Raw genomic sequence first — 25,134 nt, 5'->3', positions numbered from 1 at the left:
CCTCTAGGTCAAGCCACATTTTTCCTAAAGGTAACATTTTATTTGGAGTATTTGGAATTTTGAGGAGTGCGAGGGTGGGGATGGTTTGAAGGAACTGTGATTATGTTAAAAATTAACACCTAATGGATTTTAGATGGTTAGACCTTTGTAATAAATGGAATTCATAAAGCCTAGCATTGGCAAAAATACATATCAATTTTTTTTGACGAGATACAGTGTCTAATAGAATGTTAGCGTCCATCTTTGCATCTAAAATAATTTAAAAACAAATAAATTCACTTGCACCTAGGCATTTTTACTTTCTCTTTCATCTCTCTGTATATGGGTGGGAAGTAATGTGATACATTGCCCAGAATGTGAAGAGTGTGAGAGGAACACACACAAAGTGGTTGCCAAGAATGTGTCTGGGAATTAGACACGAAAAGGACCACGTTCCTTTTTCTTCTCATACCACGTAAGATTCCCTGTGGAATTCTGCTTGTTCCTCAGGGAGGAAAAGCAAACCATGAGTTCCTGGCAATATTATTGGCTATGAGAAAGTTAAGGAAGAGATACTGAGTGACAAAAATACCATGATGATCGAACAAATTTTCTTGTTATTAAGCAAATCAAAATGGAAGGCCCACCTTTATTGGCTAATTATTATATGTTAGTGAAGTCAGAATGATTTATAATAGTGATAGACCCAGAAAGAACCTTTAATGATATGCAAACACATTAGTTTTCTTGTATTAAAGTGATCTGTACCTGTTGACATTATTAAATGACTCCCATGCTTTCCATTCTAACATGATTGCTTTTGAATTTGCATTATTAACCATTATAGTTTTTCTATGTACAAATGGTGTATAAACTTCTCTTTGGAGGTGCTGATATTTAATGGCCTATTCTTGGGAAAGGTTGCAGGGAGAATATTATGATCCATAGGGCAATTTTGAAATTACAATTAGTACTCTGTTGTCTTCCTAGGCATGACTTTCATAGTGGCTTATCTTGTCCTGGTATTTTAACTTCTTGGCTCTCTTATTCCTCACACATACCGTGTATCTTTAATACTTGACCACTTGTTAAAACTAATGAGATTGTTTTGAAAACGTAAATGTTAGCTCAAGAAAAAAAAGGAATTACTTTCCAAGGCACGTCAGAGTACTATATAAAAAAAGGGGAAAATACAGACTTTAGATAAAATGTCCTACTTTACAGTATATATATATACACATAAAATTATATAGATAATTATCTGAGATAACTATAATTATATAGTGATATTACCTATATAATTATAATTTTATAATTATTATATCTATATAATTTTATTATATATAATTATTATATCCATAAAATTATGTGTATAGCACAACACCAACAGTAGATCTGGTTTTAAACCTGAGTTAGTTTAGCTCTTCACCGACTCTTACCCAGACTATTGCTATCACATCTTCAAATTTTGTTTTTGTCTCTGTGGATGGCCTTCTGCAATCTATCCTGTATACTATTGTTAATGTGTTAAAACACAGATCTCACTGATGTACCTCATTACAAGGCAATACAGGATACTCAGCATGGAATAAAAGCCAGTTGTTATTGAGTGTTGTTTGCCTCTCCAGTTCTTTTTTTTTTTTTTTTTTAAGATGGAGTCTGGCTCTTTCACCCAAGCTGGACTGCAGTGGCGTGATCTCGGCTCACTGCAAGCTCTGACTCCCGGGTTCACGCCATTCTCCTGCCTCAGCCCTCCCGAGTAGCTGGGACTACAGGCGCCAGCCACCACACCCGGCTAATTTTTTTTTTTTGTATTTTTAGTAGAGACTGGGTTTCACCGTGTTAGCCAGGATGGTCTCGATCTCCTGACCTCGTGATCCGCCTGCCTCCGCCTCCCAAAGTGCTGGGATTACAGGTGTGAGCCACCGTGCCCGGCCACCTCTCCAGTTCTTATCTTAGTATTCCACCTTCAACTTGATCCTGCCCATCAACAAAGTTAATGCTGCATTAATCGTTAATCATGCTGCTTTTGTACTTTTTTTGTGTGTGTGGTGGTCGTCATTCTTGTTGCAAAAATTAGTTAATATGTCAGATCTTCTGTGAAGTCTTTTTTGACCATCCACCCAAGTATAAGTACTTATTAACCATGTATCCTATTGCTGCCTGTACACATGGCATATATTTCTCATACTGTAATTATGTACTTATATTTCTGTAGTCCTGTTTAGGACAGGCACTTTTCATCTCTGTATTCCCCAGATTGAGTGTAGTACTGATACTTCACTACATGTTTATTGAATTAAATTCTTTACTGTTAACTAGGTTTAGTGAGCTCTGATGTCACCTACAAATATATTATCAGCCCCAAACATTTAATCTCAACCATCAAAAATTTAGCACAACCACCATTTTTATCGTATATATAGGAATGGAATTTTTTTTTAAATTTTCAGTTATTTTGAATAGTAATTTATTTAAGCCTTCCTATGTGTCATGGACCCTGCTGGTTTCAAACAGATTACTGTGATTGAGTGAATAAACATCAAGAATCTTTTATAGAGGGATTTAATATTATTGTAATCATAACGCTGGTTGGATTAGGGTTTGTTTATCATGCCATTATCTTCAACAAGGCTCATCTGCTGCCTCTTGGATTCAGATGCTGCTCAGTGGCTCCAGCCTGTTCTCTCTGAAGAGAGGAGAACTTAACAAATGGACATTATCCTCAAGAGTCATCTCTGCCAGAGGGCTTTGTGGAAGTGATTTGTGAGAATAATTTTTTTTTTTTTTTTCTCACTGCATATCTCAAATGGCATGTTTTTCACCACTGAAAATAGGAAGACAGTTCTTTTGTGTTTATTAAAAATAATAGCTAACTTATTCATTAAAAGAAAAAGCATTCTTAATTGTGGCAATGGTTTTGTGGCTTTGGACATTAAGAACAAGTTAAATTTTTATATGATTCCTCATCCAGATTTTTCTCAAGATTAAAAACTAAGATTCCTAGAGAAAAACATTTTTTTCTTTCAATTTTCACATAGAATTCTTGCCGTTGGAGAATTCTGAGATCGTTGGGAGGAACTTTGTACAGTGATCTGTAGACAATAGCTCTTGACTGTCTGTGTTTTCTGCCAGGTTGTGTGTGATTTTGTAATACTTCCCTAGTCTAGGCCGTATGCTTCTGAAGAGTCCCTGCCATTTCTTCATTCCGCGATGTCATTAAGACCCCTGTTGCTTTTATTTGAAAAGTATACAAGCTTTGGAATCGGATAACATGTTTCAGTTCACCAATTAATAGCTGTCTGACCTTGGCCAAATCAATGAACTGTTCTTTAAAGCAGTTTTCTGAGGTGTAAAATGAGAACTTTTTCATTGACCTTGTTTGTAAATATTAAATGAAATTGAATGTTTATAGTAAATAAAATGTTAACATTTTATATCAAGTGAAAAAATGGAAATTAATATTCATAAATATTAAATAATATAAAACTTAAACACTTGTAAATATTAAGTGAAAGTACCACCTACAGTCTGAACACATAATATGTGACTTAATAAAACCGTTTAGGTTACTTTATGAAGCAAGCATTTGGTTTCACATATTCTGTGTACCACACTTAGTAAAGCTTAGCAATGGCATCGTTACATTAGATCAACTGGACAGAACAATAAAAGAACAAATCTCCTCCAGAAGATAAGGTTTTACAAATAAGTAGTGGCAAGGCAATCCAACTTCTCACCTATTTGATTCATTTTTTAAAAATTTAGGTGAATGATATACAATAGCTGCTCTCTTTAAATTTTTTTCACTCTGAGGTTATTTCAGTTGTGCATACTACCAAAAAATATTTAAAAAATCAAATCGGCTGACAGAGGCAACTTGAATAATTAAACATTGCAGGGTGGTGTGCAACAGGGAAAGAACTGCCGCACTAGGAAGAAGGGGTCCCGCGATGGAGACGCTCATCATTTACTATGAGTCTGAGAAACTCAGTTAACCTTAGAGAATCTGGGGTGTGAAAGGAGGCTATGATACCTTTCCTACCTGGAGATAGGGAGCTGATTCAGGTAAAATCTTGACATTCCTTCAGGTTCTGAAACTCTAATACTAGGAGTTGGAGAAAATGTGGACTTTTTCTGTGAGTATCTATTTACTATTATAAGTATATTTAGGATGAATAGGATTGTGCCTTAGAGTTTGGGGAGTATCACAGGGAATTTGTTGCTCTACTCAGTCCTTCTTAAGGGCTGAATGAATCTACTTTTATTTTTCTCCCAGTTGTGACCCATGAGCTATCAGAATCCCAGTACTATAGTTTCTCTTTTCTTTTAGTGATTTATTAACTACTGTTAGTCTTTTTTTAATAGGGTTATTAAGGTCAATTAAATAGTAAGGAAAGAGAAAACTTAAGTAGACATTGGTTTGAGTAAGAAAAAGGCAACAGAAATAAAACCATGTTTTGAAAAGTTGGGTCAGTATAGGAAGGTAATCCTTATAAAGTGATCATTCTAGGTAGGCATCACATTTATACACCCGTGGACTTCTTACTAAACTGACCTAGATTGTGGTGACCTGTGCTTAAATGATTCTTAAAGTCATTCTCAATTCCGATTTCCAGTGGTTATGTTACATTCAATAGGGTGTAGCCTTTGGAAAGATCTAATTTCTCAAATGTGCCGTGCCATTCCATCTGAATAGTCCAGTGATTTCAAAGACACCACGGAGGAATACCATTGATATCACAGAAGTCCTGTCCTTTCTTAAGATGAAGAGTATGAAAAATATCCAAGCAGATGCAGAGAGGCCATCTGTCTTGAGACTCTAGAGGACATTCCTATACTGGGTGGAGAATTGTACTAAGTGGGCTTGGGAGTCTTTCGCAACTCCTCACATTTGATTTTTTTTTTTCATTTTAAATAAATGATCATTTAGAATAAGTAGAGCTCTGCGTTTTCCTTGAAAAGTAGGATGGAATTCATGAAAGGGACCAGCGAATGTTCTCTTATGCCCTGGTCTGTGCAGTACTCTATGCAGACAGACACTTGACAGATACCCTTGATATTTCCTTTCTCTTCCTTTGTGGGATTGCTTTGAACTCTGTAGGAGACAGTTTAGAATATAATTGCCTTGTCCTGCTTTAGGGATATGTAGGCGGGCTTAAATACAGATATTCTCAAATAGCTGGTTCTAGTAAACTAAATGCCCTTCCTGAGGAAATATATGGGTTGTAGATGCTGAAATAAACTAGGTTAAAAATATTTATTACACAAAAGAGATGCTAACTGAAAGAGGCACACATCCTTGTTCTCCCAACAGTTTCTCACTTGTAAATGGCATCTCTAAAGGGTTGTCCAAATTCCTAGTGTGGGCATGTAGAGTAGACAGCTGAGTCACAGCTGCTGAAATGAGACCATGCCTCCCTCCCGCTCGTGAAGGGAAGAAATAGGGAGAAAGGAGTGCAAGAGAATTAGTGCCAACAGCTTACTTAAAATTCACTGGCTTGAGAAGTCTATGAGATTCCTGGGCCAACCGGAAGCCATTACTCTACCACGTGGAGTGTCTGAAGCATGAAATCTGCCTTTCCTTAGAGAACTCTTATCATTGGCCATAGTTTGTACAAAAATGTATCTTCTTTCTGCAGAGATCTTTCCTGTATTGCAGGAATGCTAGTGTTCTCTGGCCTATCATATGAGGCTGCTGGCCTACCATTCTAGTTTGCATTTTCGACTTGGTGATACCTGGCCAGCATGTTGGCTTTCTCCTGAAGTTTGATGTTTCTCTTCCCCTTGCAGTACATATTTGAAAAGAAGTTTGGAACTGCCAGCTTTGCTTGGATTTGAACTATGGCTTGGTGCCTTACTAGCAATGAGACCTTGAACAAATTACTCAAGCTCTCTCTACCTTAGTTTCCTCATCAATAAAATGGGAATGATAATAATGCCCAACTTTTTAGGTTGTTGTGGGGATTAAATAAATTGTTTCATATTAATGTACCCCCCACCAAGGTGTGGGGATTAAATGAATTGTTCAGATTGCTTAGAACATTGCCTGGCTTGTCGCCACTCTGCCATCAATGGCTGCTGAATATCCTGTATTGGAAGTAGCATTGAAGATGATTGGAAAGAGATATTAATTTACCAGCAAATTAACACTCCATCTCATAGAAAGAGCACTAATAAATTAAGATCTGCTCCATATCACCATTACTAATATTGTTTTAGAATTTTTTATGGATTTAAATAATTTTACACACATACAGAGGAAAACAAACAGTATTATTTAGACATTATGAATTTATACTTAGAAGGCCCAGTAGCATCAATTGTAAAATTACTAGATTTAGATCATTAGCAAAATATTTGAGACTGCAAATTTTCAAAAAGAGGTGACTTTTCCAAATATCATCAATAAATTATAAGAAAGTATAATGTGGGAAAGGCTAGAAATAAATATAAACCAAAATATTAGCACTTACTACTTCTGGTTTTTGGGAATATATGTGATCTTTTAAATAAATTTAAAAAGCCCTATTGTTTACGTAGTATTTACTGTGTGCTGTGAACTGTGTTAAGTAATTTTTGTATTTTAAAAATAGCTATTGGCTTTACACTTCATTTGTGTTCTGACCAAATATTTTCATTAGTCCCCTTTGAGATCCATAAAGCCTTTCTGAGTTTTGTGAATGTAATGCAGCTAAAGATTATAATTGTAAAACTGCATTCCAAATGGCACGTATTGTAATTTGCTGCTACTTATATCTGCTTGAAGCTGTCAATATGTAGAGAATAGATTTGATCATTGAACTGAAGTAAAACTGCTCTCAATTTAGGAGTGAAAAATTTTAAGGCCCCACCTACTTTCTCTCTGGGAAAAGATGTTTCTGTTTTCTGTGTGTGTTTATATTTTCTCTATTTAATGTAGATAGTAATGTTGACTAGTTTACATCTGACTTTTCTTCCAGGTAACATTGAGATTTAGAAAAAGTACAATATGGCTGGCACCCTGAGTTTTTGGAGAGCTTAACTTTGTGTCCGAAATGCTTAAGAAGAGGAGTGTGTTCATTTGCTGTGGTTGTGATTATGATTATAAACTTAAGGCTGGTAGGCCGGGTGTGGTGGTTCATGCCTGTAATCCCAGTACTTTGAGAGGCTGAGGTGAGTGAATCGCATGAGCTCAGAAGTTCGAGACTAGCCTGGGCAGCATGGCAGCACCCTGTCTCTACAAAAAAATACAAAAATTAGCCAGGCGTCGTGGCATGCACCTATAGTCCCAGGTACTCAGGAGTCTGAGGCAGGAGGATCACTTGAGCTCCAGAGGTTGAGGCTGCAGTGAGCCAAGATCGTGCCACTGCACTTCAGTCTGGGCGACAGAACAAAGACCCCATCTCAAAAAGAAAATAAACAAACAAACGTAAGGCTGGTAAGGAAGTTTTGCCACTGAAGGCCCAGCCTCAGCCAAGTTAGTGATTGGGCAGGAAGTCAGCTCTCACCCTCACTTACCCTGCAGTTCCCCTCCCCTGTGACTTCTACACCAGTATTTTATAGTACTATAAAGTTTTCTTTGACTCACACAGTTCTCACTTCACCCTTGGAGATGCAGTTAATGCCGTTGAGTCAGATTCAGTAGACTTTCACTCATTATGCTGTTAGGGTCTTTAAAGAAATCACAGATACTCCAATTTAGGACTGCCTGTTGTGGAGGTTACCACAGCCCGATGCAAGGCCACATGACAAATCATTCATAGTGATTTTTAATGTTTTGGTAGAAATAATATTTCTTGAAAACATGACTATGTTATTGCCAATATCTGCCCAGCAAAAAGTAGTTTTTGTCTCTTTTACAATATGCTCAGAATATATGAAAAACAAATCTTCATATGAAACATAGTCAATCCTTTTTATAGATTGTTAAAGGGGACTGAGGGTGAACTGCAGAATCCTATAAATTGGATGATTCTCGTTTTGTGGGTATATTTACTTGTTGAGCTGATCGCAGCAGGGAGAGGGTGCACATATTTCCTTCTAGATACAGCAGTCCTTCACTGGTTGGAGGTTAAAAGCTGTTGAAAAATAACCCGAATGCATTTCATGAAAGAATCTTAGACAAATACAATTACTTGGAATATCAGCTAATTGCTTGCTCTATACCATGATTTTCATGTCTTACTTCCTCCAGCCTGACTTCCTCCATGTACCTTCTTGGTCTGAGTAAAATCTATGGTAATAACCAAATCGTAGACTAAAATTAATCATAATGGTGAGGGCTAAAAGGAGGGGTTAGGAAAGGACTTGACCCTGGATGGTATTTTCTTATTTTTCTTAGTACATTTAACATGTGTATTAGTCCATTTTCACGCTGCTGATAAAGACATACCTGAAACTGGGCAATTTACAAAAGAAAGAGGTTTAATGGACTTACAGTTCCACATGGCTGGGGAGGCCTCATAATCATGGCATAAGGCAAGGAGGAGCAAGTCACATCTTATGTGGAATGGCAGCGGGCAAAAAGAGCTTGTGCAGGAAAACGCCCCCTTTTAATAACAACTACAACAGCATGGGAAAATCCTGCCTCCATGATTCAATTACCTCCCATCGGCCCCCTCCCACAACACCTGGGAATTCAAAATGAGATTTGGTTGGGGACACAGCCAAACCATATCAACATGTAACTTTACAAGTTGATTGTATTGTAGACCACTAATTGAAAATGCTATTTCTAGGAACAGACTTTATTTTACTAATGCCAGGCTATGAGTAAAAATGTTGAATTAAATAATGTTATGAGTAATAGTAGCTAGGTAGTCACAGTCATAGTTCAAGCATTTCATAATGAAAATATACATATTTACATCTTCTGGCAAAGTTATAAACCCATCCCTTCCAGATAAAGCAGCATCAGAAATACTTATGATGTGTCTACCTCTATTATACCTAATCTATTTTGCATTCTGATTTTATCTTCAGAAAAGGCCTGCAGTTACTGAAATGACAAGTGAAAAGGAGGTAAGTTATGTAATTAGATGTCAGGAGAATAATAGGAAGTTATAGCCATGTTTTAGATAAGTTTATTGTTGGCTGACTTAAAATGCTATTGGTGTAATCAATCTTTTCTTGGATAGCTTATCATAAAATGTTGCTTCCCATAAGTAGTTTCCCTGTGTTTATTTTCTTAATCCACTAAATTGCTAGCTGAAACAGTTCGTGGCTAGGAAGGGACACTTTTATGTCACATATCTCCTATGACACTGTCTTCTTTCCATTTTTGTAATTGATTCAACATCTCTTTACCTCTGTAACATATTTGGATCTTTTTATTCTGTCAGCATTTGGCCAAATAATTGCTAGATCCTATGTTGTTTCTTAAAATATGCTTTGTCTTAATCAATTGTTGAGTATTTAGATTCTCCACATGAATTGACTATCATGATATCTTACTATTATTCATTAGTCCAAAGTTTGAGGGTATATTTGCAAGCCATTTTGCTCTCAGTGCCCTTCAAGTCTGTTCTTTCAATTTTTTCCTATAGCCATTGGGTTCATCTAAAAAGACCCATAGACATTTTGCTTTTGCTTCTAGCAGTATTGGTAGCCTTAGCTTGTATTTGTAGGACTCAGGACTAAACATATGCCAACAATTTATGTAGGGTAGAAGTGAAAATGCTGGATTATAGGGCAAGTATATTAACAACTTTGGTAAATGAAACCAAGTTGCCCTCAAAGTACCAGTTGTCCTGTTGTTATCTCCTCTATGATCAATACTACATATTGTCAATCCTTTGCTTTTTTGCAAATGATATAGACAAACTCTTCATTTTTGTTGCAATTTGCCCTTACTCGAATAGTGAAGCTGAGAGATTTTTCCTGTTTATTGGAACATTAATTAGGGGTAGTTTTTGTTTGTTTGTTTGTTTGAGAGAGTCTTGCTCTGTCGCTCAGGCTGGAGTGCAATGGCACGATCTCGGCTCACTGTAACCTCCGCCTCCTGGGTTCAAGCTATTCTCCTGCCTCAGCCTCCTGAGTAGCTGGGATTACAGGCGCCCGCCACCACGCCCAACTATTTCTTGTATTTTTAGTAGAGATGGGGTTTCACCATGTTGGCCAGGCTGGTCTCGAACTCCTGACCTCAGGTGATCCGTCTGCCTTGGCCTCTCAAAGTGCTGGGATTACAGGCGTGAGCCACTGTGCCCAGCCAGGATAGTTTTATTTTTAATAATTACTTGCCAGGATGTCCGTGTCAGAAACACATTGTAATAATTTATTTTATCTATTTTTAGTGACTTGAATATTTCAAAATATAAGGTATGGCTTGAGATGAGAAGTGAGTCATGAAAGCTATAATACTACAGAGAAGATACCAGACTTCAAATGCTATCTTCATACTGCTAGTGCTTTAATCTATTATGCAAATCATATTTGCCAGCTTTCTTCCCCCATACTTGAAATTTAAAAACTTCTTGGTTTTTATATTTTATTCTGAAGAACTGTGTTCACCTTTTTAATAAACCTTACAATTTGATAGATTAAAACTTGGTCATTATGTTTTAGAGCAAGGGCTGGAGGGAAAATTGAAAGAATGTTGAATAAATGAGTTTTATAATACTTTAGTGAATCATTTTTTCTTTCTTCTTCTTCTTCTTCTTCTTTTTTTTTTTTTTTTTTTTTTGATAGGGTCTTGCTCTGTCCATCAGGCTGGAGTACAGTTGCACAATAGCTCACTGCAGTCTCAAATTCCTGGGCTCAAGATATCTTCCCGCCTCAGCCTCCCAAGTAGCTGGGACTACAGGTGTATGCCACTCCTCCTGGCTAATTTTTAGAAATTTTTGTAGACATGGGGATCTCGCTTTGTTGCCCAGGCTGGTCTTGAACTCTTAGGCTCAAGAAATCTAACCCCTCTGTCTTCCCAAAGTGCTGGGATTACTGGTATGAGCCACTGTGCCAGGCCCCAATCATCTAACTCTGATGAGATCAGAATATTTCAAGTTTGGAGATCTTCTCATATGTACTGTTCTTAGGAACCACGAACTTCTGATATACTAGAGTTTGAAGCAAAAGAAGGTTCACTTCTTATCTCCATTAAATTATTGCCTGTGGGTTGGACAAGCTTGATCTAGATGTTTTCCTAACTAAAATACTAACTAATGATGACTTAAATGTACACAGCACTTAGCTTCTAATATCATAGGATATTGTGGAGAAATTTTCAAATTAATTGACACACGTTTCTAAGTAGTAGTTGGAAGCAGAAATTGGAGGGAGTCCAAATAGTTTCTTTGTTGGTATAGAAATGAACACACACACACAAACCTGAATCTTGGTGAGATCCAATGTAAAATTTCATTCACTATTCCCCCCTTTAACACTGTCTTTGTTAGGTTAGAATGGCCATTGACTTACATGTCACTTAAATGTCTGTGCAAAGCAGTGCTTTTTGCTGCTTGGGAAATCTTTATGTGGTGATTCCACTAAATGGTAACCATATGCACTCAACTGAGGGAGGAAATTTGAGGAGAAAGTTACTGTGATTCAGGTTTCAGCATTGATTTGGTTAGAAGTTGACACCTTTAAAGATTATCTTAAAAGTTTCACTAAAACTTCCCTTAAAACCCAGAGTGCTGTCTTTATGAGAAAGGGAGCAAAGGTCCCCGACATCCAGGGTTCTGATGTCAGTCAACATTAACAAAATGATTTGCTTGTGTTTGTGTGAGTGGCTTGTTTGCTCTGGACCAGACAGAAGGCTAAACTGTCATTAAATTATGCTTAGAATGAGAAGAACTGGTTAATGTATCCAATAGCAATAGTTAATATACTGGTTGTAATGAGGATGATATCCAATTATCTATTCTAACCAAAGAAAATGACAGAAAAAAACCATCATTCTTTAGTCTTAAGAATTGTGTTTTAAGAAGTTTGAAAAACCCAAACATTGGCCCATATGCCTTCTATGTTAACCTAGTCTAGAAACATTTTGATATGCAAGGGGGTTAATATTAATGAAAAATATAGGAAGATAAAGTTTTATATATATAATTATTATTATTATTTTTGAGATGGGGTCTCACTCTGCCACCCAGGCTGGAGTGCAGTGGTATGATCATGGCTTACTGCAGCCTTGACCTCCCAGGCTCAAGTAATCAGCCTCTCGGGTAGCTGAGACTATAGTCACGTTCCACCATGCTTGGCTAATTTTTTTTTATTTATTTTTTGTAGAGGTGGGTTCTCCCTATGTTGCCCAGGGTAGTCTCCAACTCTGGGCTCAAGTGATCCTCCTTAAAAAAGTGTTCTTTTTTTTTGTTTTTTGATTTCAAGATGCATTTTAATTATTTACATAAATTAATTGGTTATCTATTTTCTTGAAGTGTATTTCAAAGTCCTACAAAACTTAATTGTTGACCTCCTTAAAATGTAGTTGAGTATACTTAAATTTCCTTTGCCAATCTGAAGTAAAACTTTAAATTCAAACCCTCAAAGCAGGTCTTTGCCCTTCCTCTAGGAGGTTGGGTCACGGAATTCTGTTTTACGTCCCTTCATAAAAAAAAAGAAAAATGATCTCTCTCCCATCATGCTTGAGCTAAGTCAGGAGCAACTGCTGAAATAAGCCAGTGTGTGTCTCATATGGGTGAAGTGGAGCCCACCAGTAATCAGTAATCTCTCCAGGAGAAACAAAACAAAACAAAACAAAGATATGTTTAAATGTGAGCTTGGGTGGTTTCCAGTTTTACCAAAATGTAAATATGGCTTCAGTTGAGAATTTTATTTTTCAGTACATTTACTCTCTGTTGCTTTGTTCGATGAATTTCTCTAGATTGTGTATCTAACACTAAGTGAAAAAGACCTTTTACTGGAATAGTTAAAAGTATAAAAAATAGGAAAAGAAACTTGGGTAAATATACTCACTAATGATCTTTGGGAAAACACCTGGTTTATTATCCTACAGTTTGTGCAAGGGCTACTGCAAAAATAGTCCGAACAAAATTGCTTTTAATGTTTTCAAAGATAGAAAATTCACTGGTTTATACATGCTTTAGGGGGAGGTGAGGTGAAAAGGGAAGGTTGCCAAGCAAGAGTGATAGTATAGTGTTAATGATCATATAAATTTTCAGCCTTAAGTCACCCTATTTAAATAAAATTATTTGTAGAAATTTTAGTTAATTAGCTAGGCTTTTATAGCTTTTTCTATTAAAGACCCTTTCCTGTCAGTGATATCAGGGATGCCTGAGAGACGTTGATATATTATATGGTTCAAAGTTTACCACATGTCTATTCTCATAGGATGCAGCATCATCATGCTACCAAATGGATGGAATGGGGAATACCTTCTCTTGAGGTTGTGCCCATTGGAGGCAGCTGTACTGGATAATTCTGAAAATGGCTAATCCTGCCTCACTTTTAGGAGACACTTAATGTAGTGTTTAAGAGTAAAGAACCCATAGTGCCTAGGTTCAGCCCCTGGCTCTGGTACTTTCTTGCTCTGTGACTCTTGGCAAGTTTCATTTTTTCTTCTTTGGGGTACTTTTCACTAACATGTTCCTTTTACATTTTCAAAACCTCTTTTCATCTGTGAAATCATTTCTATGGGTATTTGGCATGTAATTAATTACCCATTAGCTCCAATAATGAGGTTGGATGAAGTCACATACTTATTGGCAGAGCTGCCCAGGTCTCAGAGGCTTATTTTTGAATTCCAACTTGTACCTGAGAGCTAAAAATTAGGTAAGATTTGGATTGATCACACTTCGGGATCCCCTGCTACAATGGATATGCGGTTACCTGTATTTAAAACAAAGAACTGATGACCTTTTTCCTTTTAATAGCTGATTCCTTGATTTACCTAACTATTCTTCATTTTATTTCATTTATGGAAAGAGCACTGAACTAGTGAAGCATAGTAGGAGATAACTTGCACGCATGTATGCATGTATATGCTAGGGCATGAGGTATTTCCCACTGTGGTCTTACAAGCTTGAAGCATTTGGACGGAAGGCCCTTGAAAGTGTCTCTAGTTCTCACCTTTTCTAGTCTCACTTTATTACTCATACTGCTTGCCAGCCAAACAACTGATTTGGTTTCAGATGTAGCACTATCATTCTCCATTTCTGGTTCAGTTGCTTGGCTGTGGCTCACCGCTACTCCTCTTAATATGTGAGAAAGAAAATATGGAGGTGATGCAGAAGTTAAAGGTTCTTGGTTGTAAGCTTTTAACCAGACTATGTTCTGCCTATGGTTTAAGATCAGAGTGATCTAAACCAAGGGCTGGTGAACTTTGGGCCAAATTCAGACTGTGGCCTGTTTTGTGAATAGAATTTTATTCAAGTACAGCCATAGCTATGCCCATTTGTTAGGTATTCTTTGTGGCTTCTTGATACTATGACAAGAGTTTTGTAGTTATGACAAAAATGGCATGGCCCACAAAACTGGAAACATTTACTAACTTGCTTTTTGTACATGAAGTTTGCTGACTCCTACGCTAAAGGAAGGTATTTCCTGACTGTTTGAAAGTATATATGATGAGTGTTCAGGTAAAACTGGTTTTGGCAATATGGTAATATTGCCTTCATATAAACTATTTTTAGTCTTTCTGTGTATATTAGATGGAAACCATATTTCTCTTTTTGTTAAGGGCTTAGCTGTTAAATATGTGCATCTGTATAGCATATAGAGAATAAACTGGGAAGAATAAAACATGAAAAAATAAGGATGCTTTTTTAACCAAAAAAAAAACTGTGTTGGGTGTTAGGAGCTTGACATGCATTATGACTAATCCTAACACCACTGTGCTATAACTGTTATTATTTTGATCGTACTGGGGAGGAAATTGAAGCTAAAAGAGGTAAAATATGAAAGCTATTTATGTATTTAGCCATTACTCCAGGCTGTGTCTAGATATATTGTCTCTCTTCTATTACCTGCGTGGATGATGTATGGCCCATACTTAAAATTCTTAAGCCTTATTCATAGATGTATAAGGGATTTTAATGTTGTTTCTCTGTAAAGATGAAGGGGGTGGAACTGAACTTGTTATTCCATTCTGGATAATTCAGTCTTATTGAAGATTGTTTATTTAGTTGGAGTGGAGCATCTGCTTCGAATAATATACAGTTTGAATAGAAGTCTTACTAGCTAAATAATCTTGGATTATATGAACATGTATTCTTGGCTAGAGATGGAACTCAAGGGATGAACAATTAGATAAGTAACAATTGTGTTTGAAGTGAGTTCTTCTGTCATCATTAAGAGTTATTTCTACCTATCAATAAATAATGGGTTTGGATTTCCTGAAATGTGTCTCTAGTTGTTTTTCCTTAATGAAGGAGTTAGACCTAAATAATATTTTCACACCCTAATTAACTACAAGCAGGGCAAAGGATACTTTCAGGATCTCAAGTGATTATTATTTAAAGAACTCCTATTCATAAATTTTCTGTTTTCTTCTAGTAGATCCTCTTTGGTAATGAACCAGAGCAATATATTATGACCAGTGACTCATAAATATGCCCTTAAAACCATTTGTTACTTGTATCTACTTGGAATTTTTCCTATTTTAATTTCAGTACTTAAATTGGAAAACAAAAGTGTTGCTTATCATTAGAGCAGGTATAAAGTACCTAAATATTTATCACGGTATGCCAGTTTTTATTTTGTACCTTCAGTATTCCCAGAAGTGTAGCGTTAAAAGGAAAAAAAATGATTCGCATATCCCAGTATATTTCAGAGGAAATAGGAACTTTATTTAAAAGCATTAATTTCTGGCTGGGCGCAGTGGCTCACGCCTGTAATCCCAGCACACTGGGAGGCCAAGACGGGTGGATCACGAGGTCAAGAGATTGAGACCATCCTGGCCCCACATGGTGAAACCCCGTCTCTACTAAAAATACAAAAATTAGATGGGCATGGTGGCACGAGTCCCAGCTACTCAGGGGAGGCTGAGGCAGGAGGATCGCTTAAACCTGGAAGGCAGAGGTTGCTGTGAGCCGAGATCGCGCCACTGCACTCTAGCCTGGGCGACAGAGTGAGACTCCATCTCTAAACAAAAACAAAAACAAAAACAAACAAACAAAACCATTAATTTCTATACTTCTGTAAGGTGTTTTTCTGGGAATAAACTGTATTACTCAGATTATCAATAGAACTGCATTTAAGATATTTAGTAATTTTCATTCTTTTTACAATTTTTGTGAAATATATTGGCTTTTTTGTAATGAATTTTGTAGATCATATCAACAAATTTATATCATGGTTTCTGATTAGCATAGATAGATGACAAAGTTAGCTTAACTCAGTATTGCATGTGTCCTAATGTGACATGTATTAATCTTTCTCTGTGTCCTGAATGGAAGAAAGATCATTCCAAGTTGATAATCACTTACATGAGCAAAGTTATGTATCACAGCTTAATTCACAATTGGAGAAGGTTAATTTGTCCATTTTTGAGGATCATCAAGCAGCTTTACTAAGGATATTGTATTTTCCAACTTATTTTGTCTTGGACTTTCTTTTTACTTGAAAAAACTATATATATTCCAAAAATTTAAGAAAATGCTTCATATCTTCAGCTAAATAAAGCTTGTTCTTTACAAACAGTAAAGAACCATGAAAGATAATTCTATTTGTTTCTTGCTACTGTACTCAGTCAGAAAATTAAGAATCTAGAGGTGCCATGGAGGGGAGAGTGTGGAAGATCTTAGGACAATAATCTTTTAAAAGAATGTCCTTCATGGCTCTCCAGTGATCTACGACTTTTCATTTTTCTTCAGTTCAACTTTGTTTAAATTAACGTGACCCCAGGTTTTATTGAAAAGTTTGACTTCAGAAAGGACTTAAATTTAGTATTCATTTTTTCCTGATTCTACAGAAAATGTCTCTGGTTCCGTGTTCTCTCATAGAGCTTTTACCCTCTGTTTAAATAAGCACTCAAGAATCTAAATGCTAGATGTTTAGGCAATATAGTTTTGGGGTCAGGGGTACTTACTTTTCTTTCCTTTTTATGTTTAATCTTTTTGGTGTCTAATACTACTTAGTACCACATTTTTCACCGAGCAGTTTCGGAGTAAAAAGATATTCTGGCAAGTTCATATCAGCTTGATTTTTATTTTCAGATGAACAGGTTGCCAACCCCTTAAGTGGCTTGCTATCATAGAAACAGACCATTTCGGTGATAGATCTGTCCCTTAGTTGATTGATTGGCGTAGAGGAATTAGCAGTCTGTGAAATGCTCTTCAGAAGTAATTTTCCTCCAAAGGTCAAGGAACTGTGGTCACCATTTCTCTGGCATGATTTGCAGCTACTCATTGTAGCCTTATTACCAGTAGCAAATGAAACAGCTGAAATGGAATGTTTCCTTGCTCATTTTTCTTTCCCTCTGCCTAACTAAATTTCTTGAACACCAGTTTGGTATTACCTCTTTCTGTTCTGCCATCTGCCATCCAGCTCAGTGAAACTTTAAATTCATAAGGTATGTTTTAATTTATGAATTAGGAGCTTGCTATGACATTTCTCTTTTTAAATAGATTTATGTAATACTATACATAAAGATGTCTTGAACTCAAGAACATGTATTGAGGACCACGTATGATAGAGGACTTGGTGTTTAGGCCTTTCTAGTGAGTCCTAAATGGTCAATAGGAACTGTATATGATGGAATTAGTTCAGGATATATTATGCGCTCTCTGTTACAAGGTTGAAACAAATTATTTTCCTCTGTTTCCCTCTATTCCTCTTTTAACTCAACATGGGTTATTACCATTTTTTTAATGTGGCTTGAATTGCCTCATACTCTTGGATAAAATCTTTTAAAGATTTTAATACAGCTGTAGAACAAACTCTAAACTCCTTTTTCTGACATCTAAAACTTTTCGTATTTACTTTCATTTCTTCCTAGTTTCCTATGTATTCTGGATGCTCATTATACAGAGTTATTTGAAATTTCACAACATATGATGTTCCTTTAGAGTTATATGCCTTTGATCTTGCTTTTCCTCTAGTTTTATTCCCATTTCCATTCTGGCTTTGCTCTGTTTGGTATATCCTTCCTCATATTCACTATGAGTAACTCATTGAAACCTTCCCTAACCAACCCTGGTGTGAGTAGCCAATTCTTTAATGTTCTGTGGAATTTTCATCATATTATTATCCCGCATAACACATTGTATTTATTTTAATATATATGTCTCCCATAGTTTGTCTCATTTATCAGTCCAGTTATTTTTGCATTTCCTATCATCTACTCCAGTATACTGTATTTGCCCTTAACCTTGAAATACAAAATTCTTTACAAAAAAATTTGTAAAAGTTTTATTAGTATGCTATATTTTATGCCTCTTGGATTAGACCTTGTTGTAAATTAGAAATTAAAAATTATTTAAAAAGCTTTCTTATTACTCAAGTCAAGTAGACCAGTAATGATTTTCAAGACTCCTTTGACAAATTTCAGATAGGGAAGGGATGTGCAACAAATAGCAAGCATTGACCCACTTATTTTGTACAGCTACTCCTAGTTGTTATTGCTAATCAGAATCCTGTAGTCTAAAATTAACAGTGGCTATGAAGGAGAGCAATTAAGGCCATTTGTCTTTCAAATGAGTCAATGTGGGTCCCACTGGTAGTTTAAATTTATATACAGAGGGCACTCACACTATTATAAAGGGTAATGGGGGCCCTGAAGGCCTGTGTTACAAAGCAGTAAATTATTTTAGAGTTTGATAGCAAATTATATTTTGAGAAAAACTTTCCTCTTGCTATGTGAAGATACATTTCCTAGCAACCTATTTTCATTGGTTAATTTTAAATTAAAAAGTACATCTTTTTTAATGAGAGCATTTATAAAAGGTCTATTTTAAGCATATTTAAAAGACAATATTAAGGTTTTGAGTTCTCGAGTTTGGTTGTTTTATAGGATTGCTGTAGTCATAAGAGTGATTCAAGAATACACTCAACATATTCTCCTTTTGGAAAAGATTTCAGAGCTTGTAGTGCCACCATGACATCTCTGATGTCTCCTGCTTTGCCTGTGACACTGACCCCTCCCTGTCATTGGTGAGCAGTGTAACTTTCACTTATACTCAGATTGCCAAACTTTTGATGAGGAAAGTAAATTCCTTTTTTTTACAGAGAAGAATTTACAGCACTGGAGTTTACTACTCCTTAGTCTGTTGCTTGGTCAGAGAATTCACTGAGTTTCTGCACAGAGATCCCTATGGAAACTGAACAAATACACTATTTGAAAGGAGACAGGTTATTGGTTTTTCTCATTAAACCCACTGCTGGATTTTCGTTAGTTCTAATGCATTTTCTTTCAAGATGAGACATATAGGCCAGTTCTTATTTTCATGATTTGAATAAACTAAATATGTTGAGTCGTGTGTGCCTGTACACATCGCCTAAGAAGCAAAAATAATCCTTCTACTTTTGCAATACAATTACCCCTGAAAATTACGCCAGAAAAACCATGACTGATGCAAATGGGGAATGCTACCCCCGTTTAAAAAGACCAAGTTATTAAATAAAGTGGGAACGGTGAAAGTGATTATAGGCTAATCTGATTGGTTTTATGCTTGAGTCACCCCCAACCTTTTAAATCATAATTGTGTATGAAAGTAATCTAAATAAAGCATGAAAGATATCACAGACCTCAAACACTTTAGACCCTAAAAAGCTTTATGTTTCATTGGCTATTATGAGATTTCAAAGAGTTCTTTTAAAGCAAAGATGTTAGTAAAACTTAAATTATTTCACCTTCTTGAACTTGCATTGTAGAGGAAGACAACTTTCACTCTTATTCTTCCTCTACTTCTCACCACTAAAGTTACTAAAAACGATTTAGACTCCAGGTGGTTTGTGAGGCAGGAGAATAGGGTCCGGAGGCAGGGAACCTAAGGCTGATTCACCTGACGTCCTAGAACTAAATAGAAAGGAAAACCCCAACTTTCCAGGCCTTAGTAACAGAAGGACCACAGCGTACTCCCTTTGCAAACTTCCTTGTTTTCTGAGTGGTGATGGAAAATTGAAAGTACCTCTGATTGGTTGCAGAAAGTACTGTAAAATGTTGATTGCGGGCCACCACTTCATTTACATGAGGTGAACACCAAGTGGCCAATCGGAAACCTCTAGGGAGGTATTTGGACCTGAGAAGATTCCGTACTGTTCCCTTGAGCTGCTGCTCGCGCACTCCCACAGTGTGGAGTGTACTTTCATTTTCAGTAAATCTCTGCTTTCGTTACTTCATTCTTTCCTCGCTTTGGTGTGGATTTTGTCCAATTCTTTGTTCAAGACGCCAAGAACCTGGACAACTTGCAGTCAAGATCCTCTACCACTAACACTTTGTATATTTCAAGAAAGCCTGACTTATGCATGTATCTATTATTTTTAATAATTCAAAATCTGTGCCTCAGTCTTCCTTCTGGGTCTCAAATGGGCTTCTTTTTCAAACAGAAAGTACTGATAGACATTTATTTTTCTGTGAAAATTTAAAGAGAATAGTGATAAACAGGAGTACCATTTATTATTAAGATTGTGAGTAACATTATATATATCAATATAACATTTCCTTCTCCAGAACTTTCGTTATGTTTGGAAAATCTGTTTAGAATGTAACAGTAGTCTTCTTTTCTCCTAGGTGGCTGTACTTTTGATGATGGTCCAGGGGCCTGTGATTACCACCAGGATCTGTATGATGACTTTGAATGGGTGCATGTTAGTGCTCAAGAGCCTCATTATCTACCACCCGAGATGCCCCAAGGTGAGAGTCACTCTGTTTAGTCAGTGTTGGGGGAATAGTTTTGCAGTATCTATGATTTTCTTATTTAAAGTGTAACAACAATAATTTAATGGTTATAATAAGCTAAATTATTGTGCTACTGGATCACTTCTAAGAGCCTTATTCTTTGCCTTTCCCTTAATAACTTTCTGTAATTCTGTATTCCTTGTTGTCTTTGAAAAAAAAAAGATAAGTATTAGTGTTTTTTTCTATTTAATAAAAACCCAAGTGACAAACCAAAAATCAAAAAATAAAAGAAAAAACAGAATAAACAAAAAAAAATCCTTTCCAAAAAATTCTCAAATGTGGGATCAGCTCTTTTCGTAGTTATTCAATTAAATTGTATATGTTGGATCCAATCAGACTGAAGGGAAAGAATTTTATTACATTGTAAGGAGAGAGGTTGTGTCTTTCTCCCAGTGGTCATGAGCATGCCAGTGACTCTGAGGGGAGGCAGTGTGGAGACAAAAGTATCAAATGGAGATCTTTTATGTGGGAATTATAGAGAAATAGGGCCAGATCTGTTCTTTTGTTGTTGTTGTTGTTTTTTGATATGGAGTCTCACTCTGTCACCCAGGCTGGAATGCAGTGGCCTGATCTCTGCTCACTGCGATCTCTGCCTCCCAGGTTCAAGTGATTCCCCTGCCTTAGCCTCCTGAGTAGCTGGGACTACAGGCGTGCACTGCCACGCCCAGCTAATTTTTGTATTTTTAGTGGAGGCGGGGTTTCACTGTGTTGGTCAGGCTGGTCTCGAACTCCTGACCTCGTGATCCGCCCGCCTCGGCCTCCCAAACTGCTGGGATTACAAGCGTGAGCCACCGCGCCCAGCATCTTTTCGTTTTTTACCTTACTTTGTTATATCCTTTGATTTTGGGTTTTGGGAGATAATATAATTTATAATTGTTTAAAACAGTGTGCATTATGTTTCATCTTAGGAAAAACACATTAACATAGGATGTCAATATTTACATACCATTTCATACAATATTGGACTAATAGTTGTGCTTTCAATTCTGCATATTAATCTGGAGCAAATTCCAAGTTCTGTGCGTATATGCTTAGCAATAACATTAAATTGTGACATTAAAATGTAAACAGGAATTTAAAAATACAACATGAAAGAGAACAAACTCTTTTCCTTCCAATATTTAGAAAGAAACAAAAATAGTACATAATTATATATTATATATAGTTATGTATATATAATATATTATCATTATGCTATTATAATATATAATATAATTAATGTGCTGATTGCTTAGTACTAATAATTTAGGTTTCAAAGTATATTTAGTATTTTTATTATGATTAAAAATGGTTTAGAATTAATTTTTCTACAAAAAGAGTAAGTCCTTCTTGAGTGTGAATTTTAGATATGACAATTTTAGACATAGCCATTAGAAATGAAAATGTTAATTCTGCTTATTGAAGAGAGAAAATTCTATCAGCAGCATCCCTGAACTTGCTGATCAATGTGATTTAAAAAAAAAAGTGAAAACATCAACAATAAACAATTTATCACAAGCACACAAAGTAAATAAAACCTAAAAGTTACATTTCTAAATGTAATTTTTAGTTTGTAAATGAATATGGTAAATATTTCCTTGAAAAATTTTGTGTTGGTTCCCCCGTGATGTGTACTTTTATAATAGAATGAATTAAATTTGCTTTTTACTCTGAATTGTCACTCTCCGTGATTGAGTAGGAAATGGTTATTTTTGAGGCTGAACTGAGCCATAATTTCCTTTGCAGAGGGAAAACTGGAACTGTGTGGTTGACACTCTTTGTTTCTTATATTTGACCCCTACTTTGTCAGCAGACTCATTTAATTTTGTGCGTAGATTTGTATTTTTTCTTTCAAAGGTATGTAACCTTATTTTCCTGGTGCATTTTAATTAAACTACTGTAATTTTTCACCTGAATTTTCTCTGTGGTATATTTAGACTAAACTTTTCATATAAAATTAAAGGATGTGGGTGGGCTGGGATGCACACATTTTGAATGTTTATCATCATAGAATAATAAGAAAGATGTTGATTTATGGAAATGTTACCATTGCTAATTACCATTGATGGTGGGTAATGAATAGTTGAAGAATTACTGCTCAGATGACCTTGTTGGCTCACCTTTGATGAACAGCTTAATCGGTGGTTACAGTACAGGATGATATGCACAGAAAATGAAAGCATTTGAAATTCAGCCATATCTTCCAATTAATAGGACATTAAGTAATTAATCATGCAGAGGAGGGAAAAAGGTCACGGCCACTTTGCCGAATGAAACAGTGTTTAGTCTTCAGAGAGGTGAGAGAAAGCACTCATGTATGTTATTCTTTTAGTCATCTCTTTTTATAATAGATACTATTTTTTTCATTTTCCTTCTGATATTCCTTTAAAGTGCTGACTGAATATTCCTTGCTCATAAATTGGTGTAAAGGAGACATTTAGATTTTTCATGCTAAAATGTTATGATCTTTTTATTGTCACATAAATTAGCAAGCATGCTTATTTTCTTTATGTACTTTAAAAACACAAACAAAAACAAAACAAACAAAAAACCCCAAATGTTTGGGAACTCTATAAAAGCTGGCTCTCCAAACCTAACTTGTTATTGAACTGTGTGATACTTGGTGCTATTAACTGGCTTCTGTTTATTAACTTTTTGGACTGAAAGCCAAGAGTGAGAGAAAAAAGGATGAATAAATAGATTAGAATGAAAGAAGACTGAAGATAGATAGTAGAGAATAATAAAAAAAATTGTTTCTATTCATGAGGAGATACAGTACCATCAATCATTGCTTAAAATGTTCTGTAGCAGTTCCTACTTACTACTTACTACACAGTTCCACATACTAGTTTGGTCAGATTACAATGATGATGACTGAAAGGTCTGCCAAATAGAATAAAAAATAGCATGCAGAAGAATGAGTACTTCATAAGACAGTTCTAGTGTCCCCAAATCATATGAAATTATGAACACCTACTTAACTCAGTCATCAAAGAAATGCATATTTAAAACACAGTGAGAAACTACTGTACAATCAGTGGAAAAATGAAAATTTTAATTCCAAGTGTTGGTAAGAATGTAGAATAAGTAAAACCCTCTAATACTACTGTTGGAGCATAAATCTGTACAACCTTGTGACCAGCAAATCCATTCTTGGGTATAAGCCCAGCAGGACTGAGTATGCATGTTCACCAAAAGACATGTGCAAGAATGTTGATAGCATCAGCATTCATAATAGTTCCAAGCTAAAAACAACCCAAATGTCTGTCAGCAGTGCAATGTATAAATAAATGGTGGCATATTCATAAAGTGAAATATTGTACTGCAAATAAATGAAAGAACCATTGCTTTATACAATAACATGAATGAATTTCGCAAACACAATCTTAAGGGAGAGAAACCAGATGCAAGAGAGTATGTATTATATACATTTATATAAATTATGTAAGTTTCAGAAACAGGCAAAACTAATCAATGATATTAGAAATCAGCATATTATTTACTTGAAGGAGGGTTTGGGTAATGATGGTTAGTGCTTGTCAGGTGGCATGAAGGAGTCTTCCAGATGCTGGTGATGATATTCTATTTCTTAATCTGGATGGCGTTTTACAGTTTGAGGTGTGCTGAAATCTGTAAAAAGTCATTGAGCTGTGTGCAATGATGAGTTGTGTACTTTTCTTTATGTATCTGATATGTCAATGTAAATTGAAAAAAATAAAAACCAATGCACACAAGGCTGGGAAACTAAAATAATAAATAAAATGTCATGGATTAGAACAAAAGATATAAAATAGATATCCTCAAATGGGTCCAAACTTCTAGTTTTCTTACCATACTGGATTCTCTCCTCCCTACTAAATAAATACTGTGTTCGCTGATATCTTTGTGTGGGCCTTGTATTGTTCTTTTCCCTCTGCTGAAATATTTCTTTGTCTGCTTATCCATTCGTTAATCTCTTACCCATTTTTACTGTGTCTTCTCACGTTCTACCTGCTTTGAGAAGATTTTCCTGACTGGCTTGAAACTCTGTTTCTTCTATCCTCATATCAGAAGATGCGGCCCACTGTACTATGTACTACTTAAATTGTAGCTATTTTTATAGTATATTTCTTATATGTCCTTCTGTCCATTAGACTATAAGGTCCTTATGAACAGCCGGGCGTGGTGGCTCACGCCTGTAATCCCAGCACTTTGGAAGACCGAGGCGGGCGGATCACGAGGTTAGGAGTTCGAGACCAGCCTGAGCAACATGGTGAAACCCCGTCTCTACTAAAAATAGAAAAATTAGTCAGGCATGGTGGCAGCTGCCTGTAATCCCAGCTACTCAGGAGGCTGAGGAAGGAGAATTGCTTGAACTGGGAGGCGGAGGTTGCAGTGAGCCGAGATCAGGCCACTGCACT

The 25,134-nt window shown here is 36.1% G+C and overlaps 1 protein-coding gene across 6 annotated transcripts in view; it reads left to right on the top strand.

Moving 5' to 3' along the window:
* PTPRK (protein tyrosine phosphatase receptor type K) overlaps window positions 1-25,134 on the top strand; it is a 551,815-nt gene that overhangs the window by 102,324 nt on the left and 424,357 nt on the right. For all 6 annotated transcript variants that reach the window (NM_001291984.2, NM_002844.4, NM_001135648.3 and 3 more), the window contains exon 2: window positions 20,588-20,710. In NM_001291984.2, the coding sequence (NP_001278913.1) occupies window positions 20,588-20,710 (123 nt within the window). The remainder of the gene's footprint in view (window positions 1-20,587; window positions 20,711-25,134) is intronic.

This window comes from Homo sapiens, chromosome 6, assembly GCF_000001405.40.
Source record: "Homo sapiens chromosome 6, GRCh38.p14 Primary Assembly".
Classification (NCBI taxonomy): domain Eukaryota; kingdom Metazoa; phylum Chordata; class Mammalia; order Primates; family Hominidae; genus Homo; species Homo sapiens.
The sequence above is the reverse complement of the archived record's forward strand: the minus strand, read 5'-3'. Positions and strand labels throughout refer to the sequence as shown.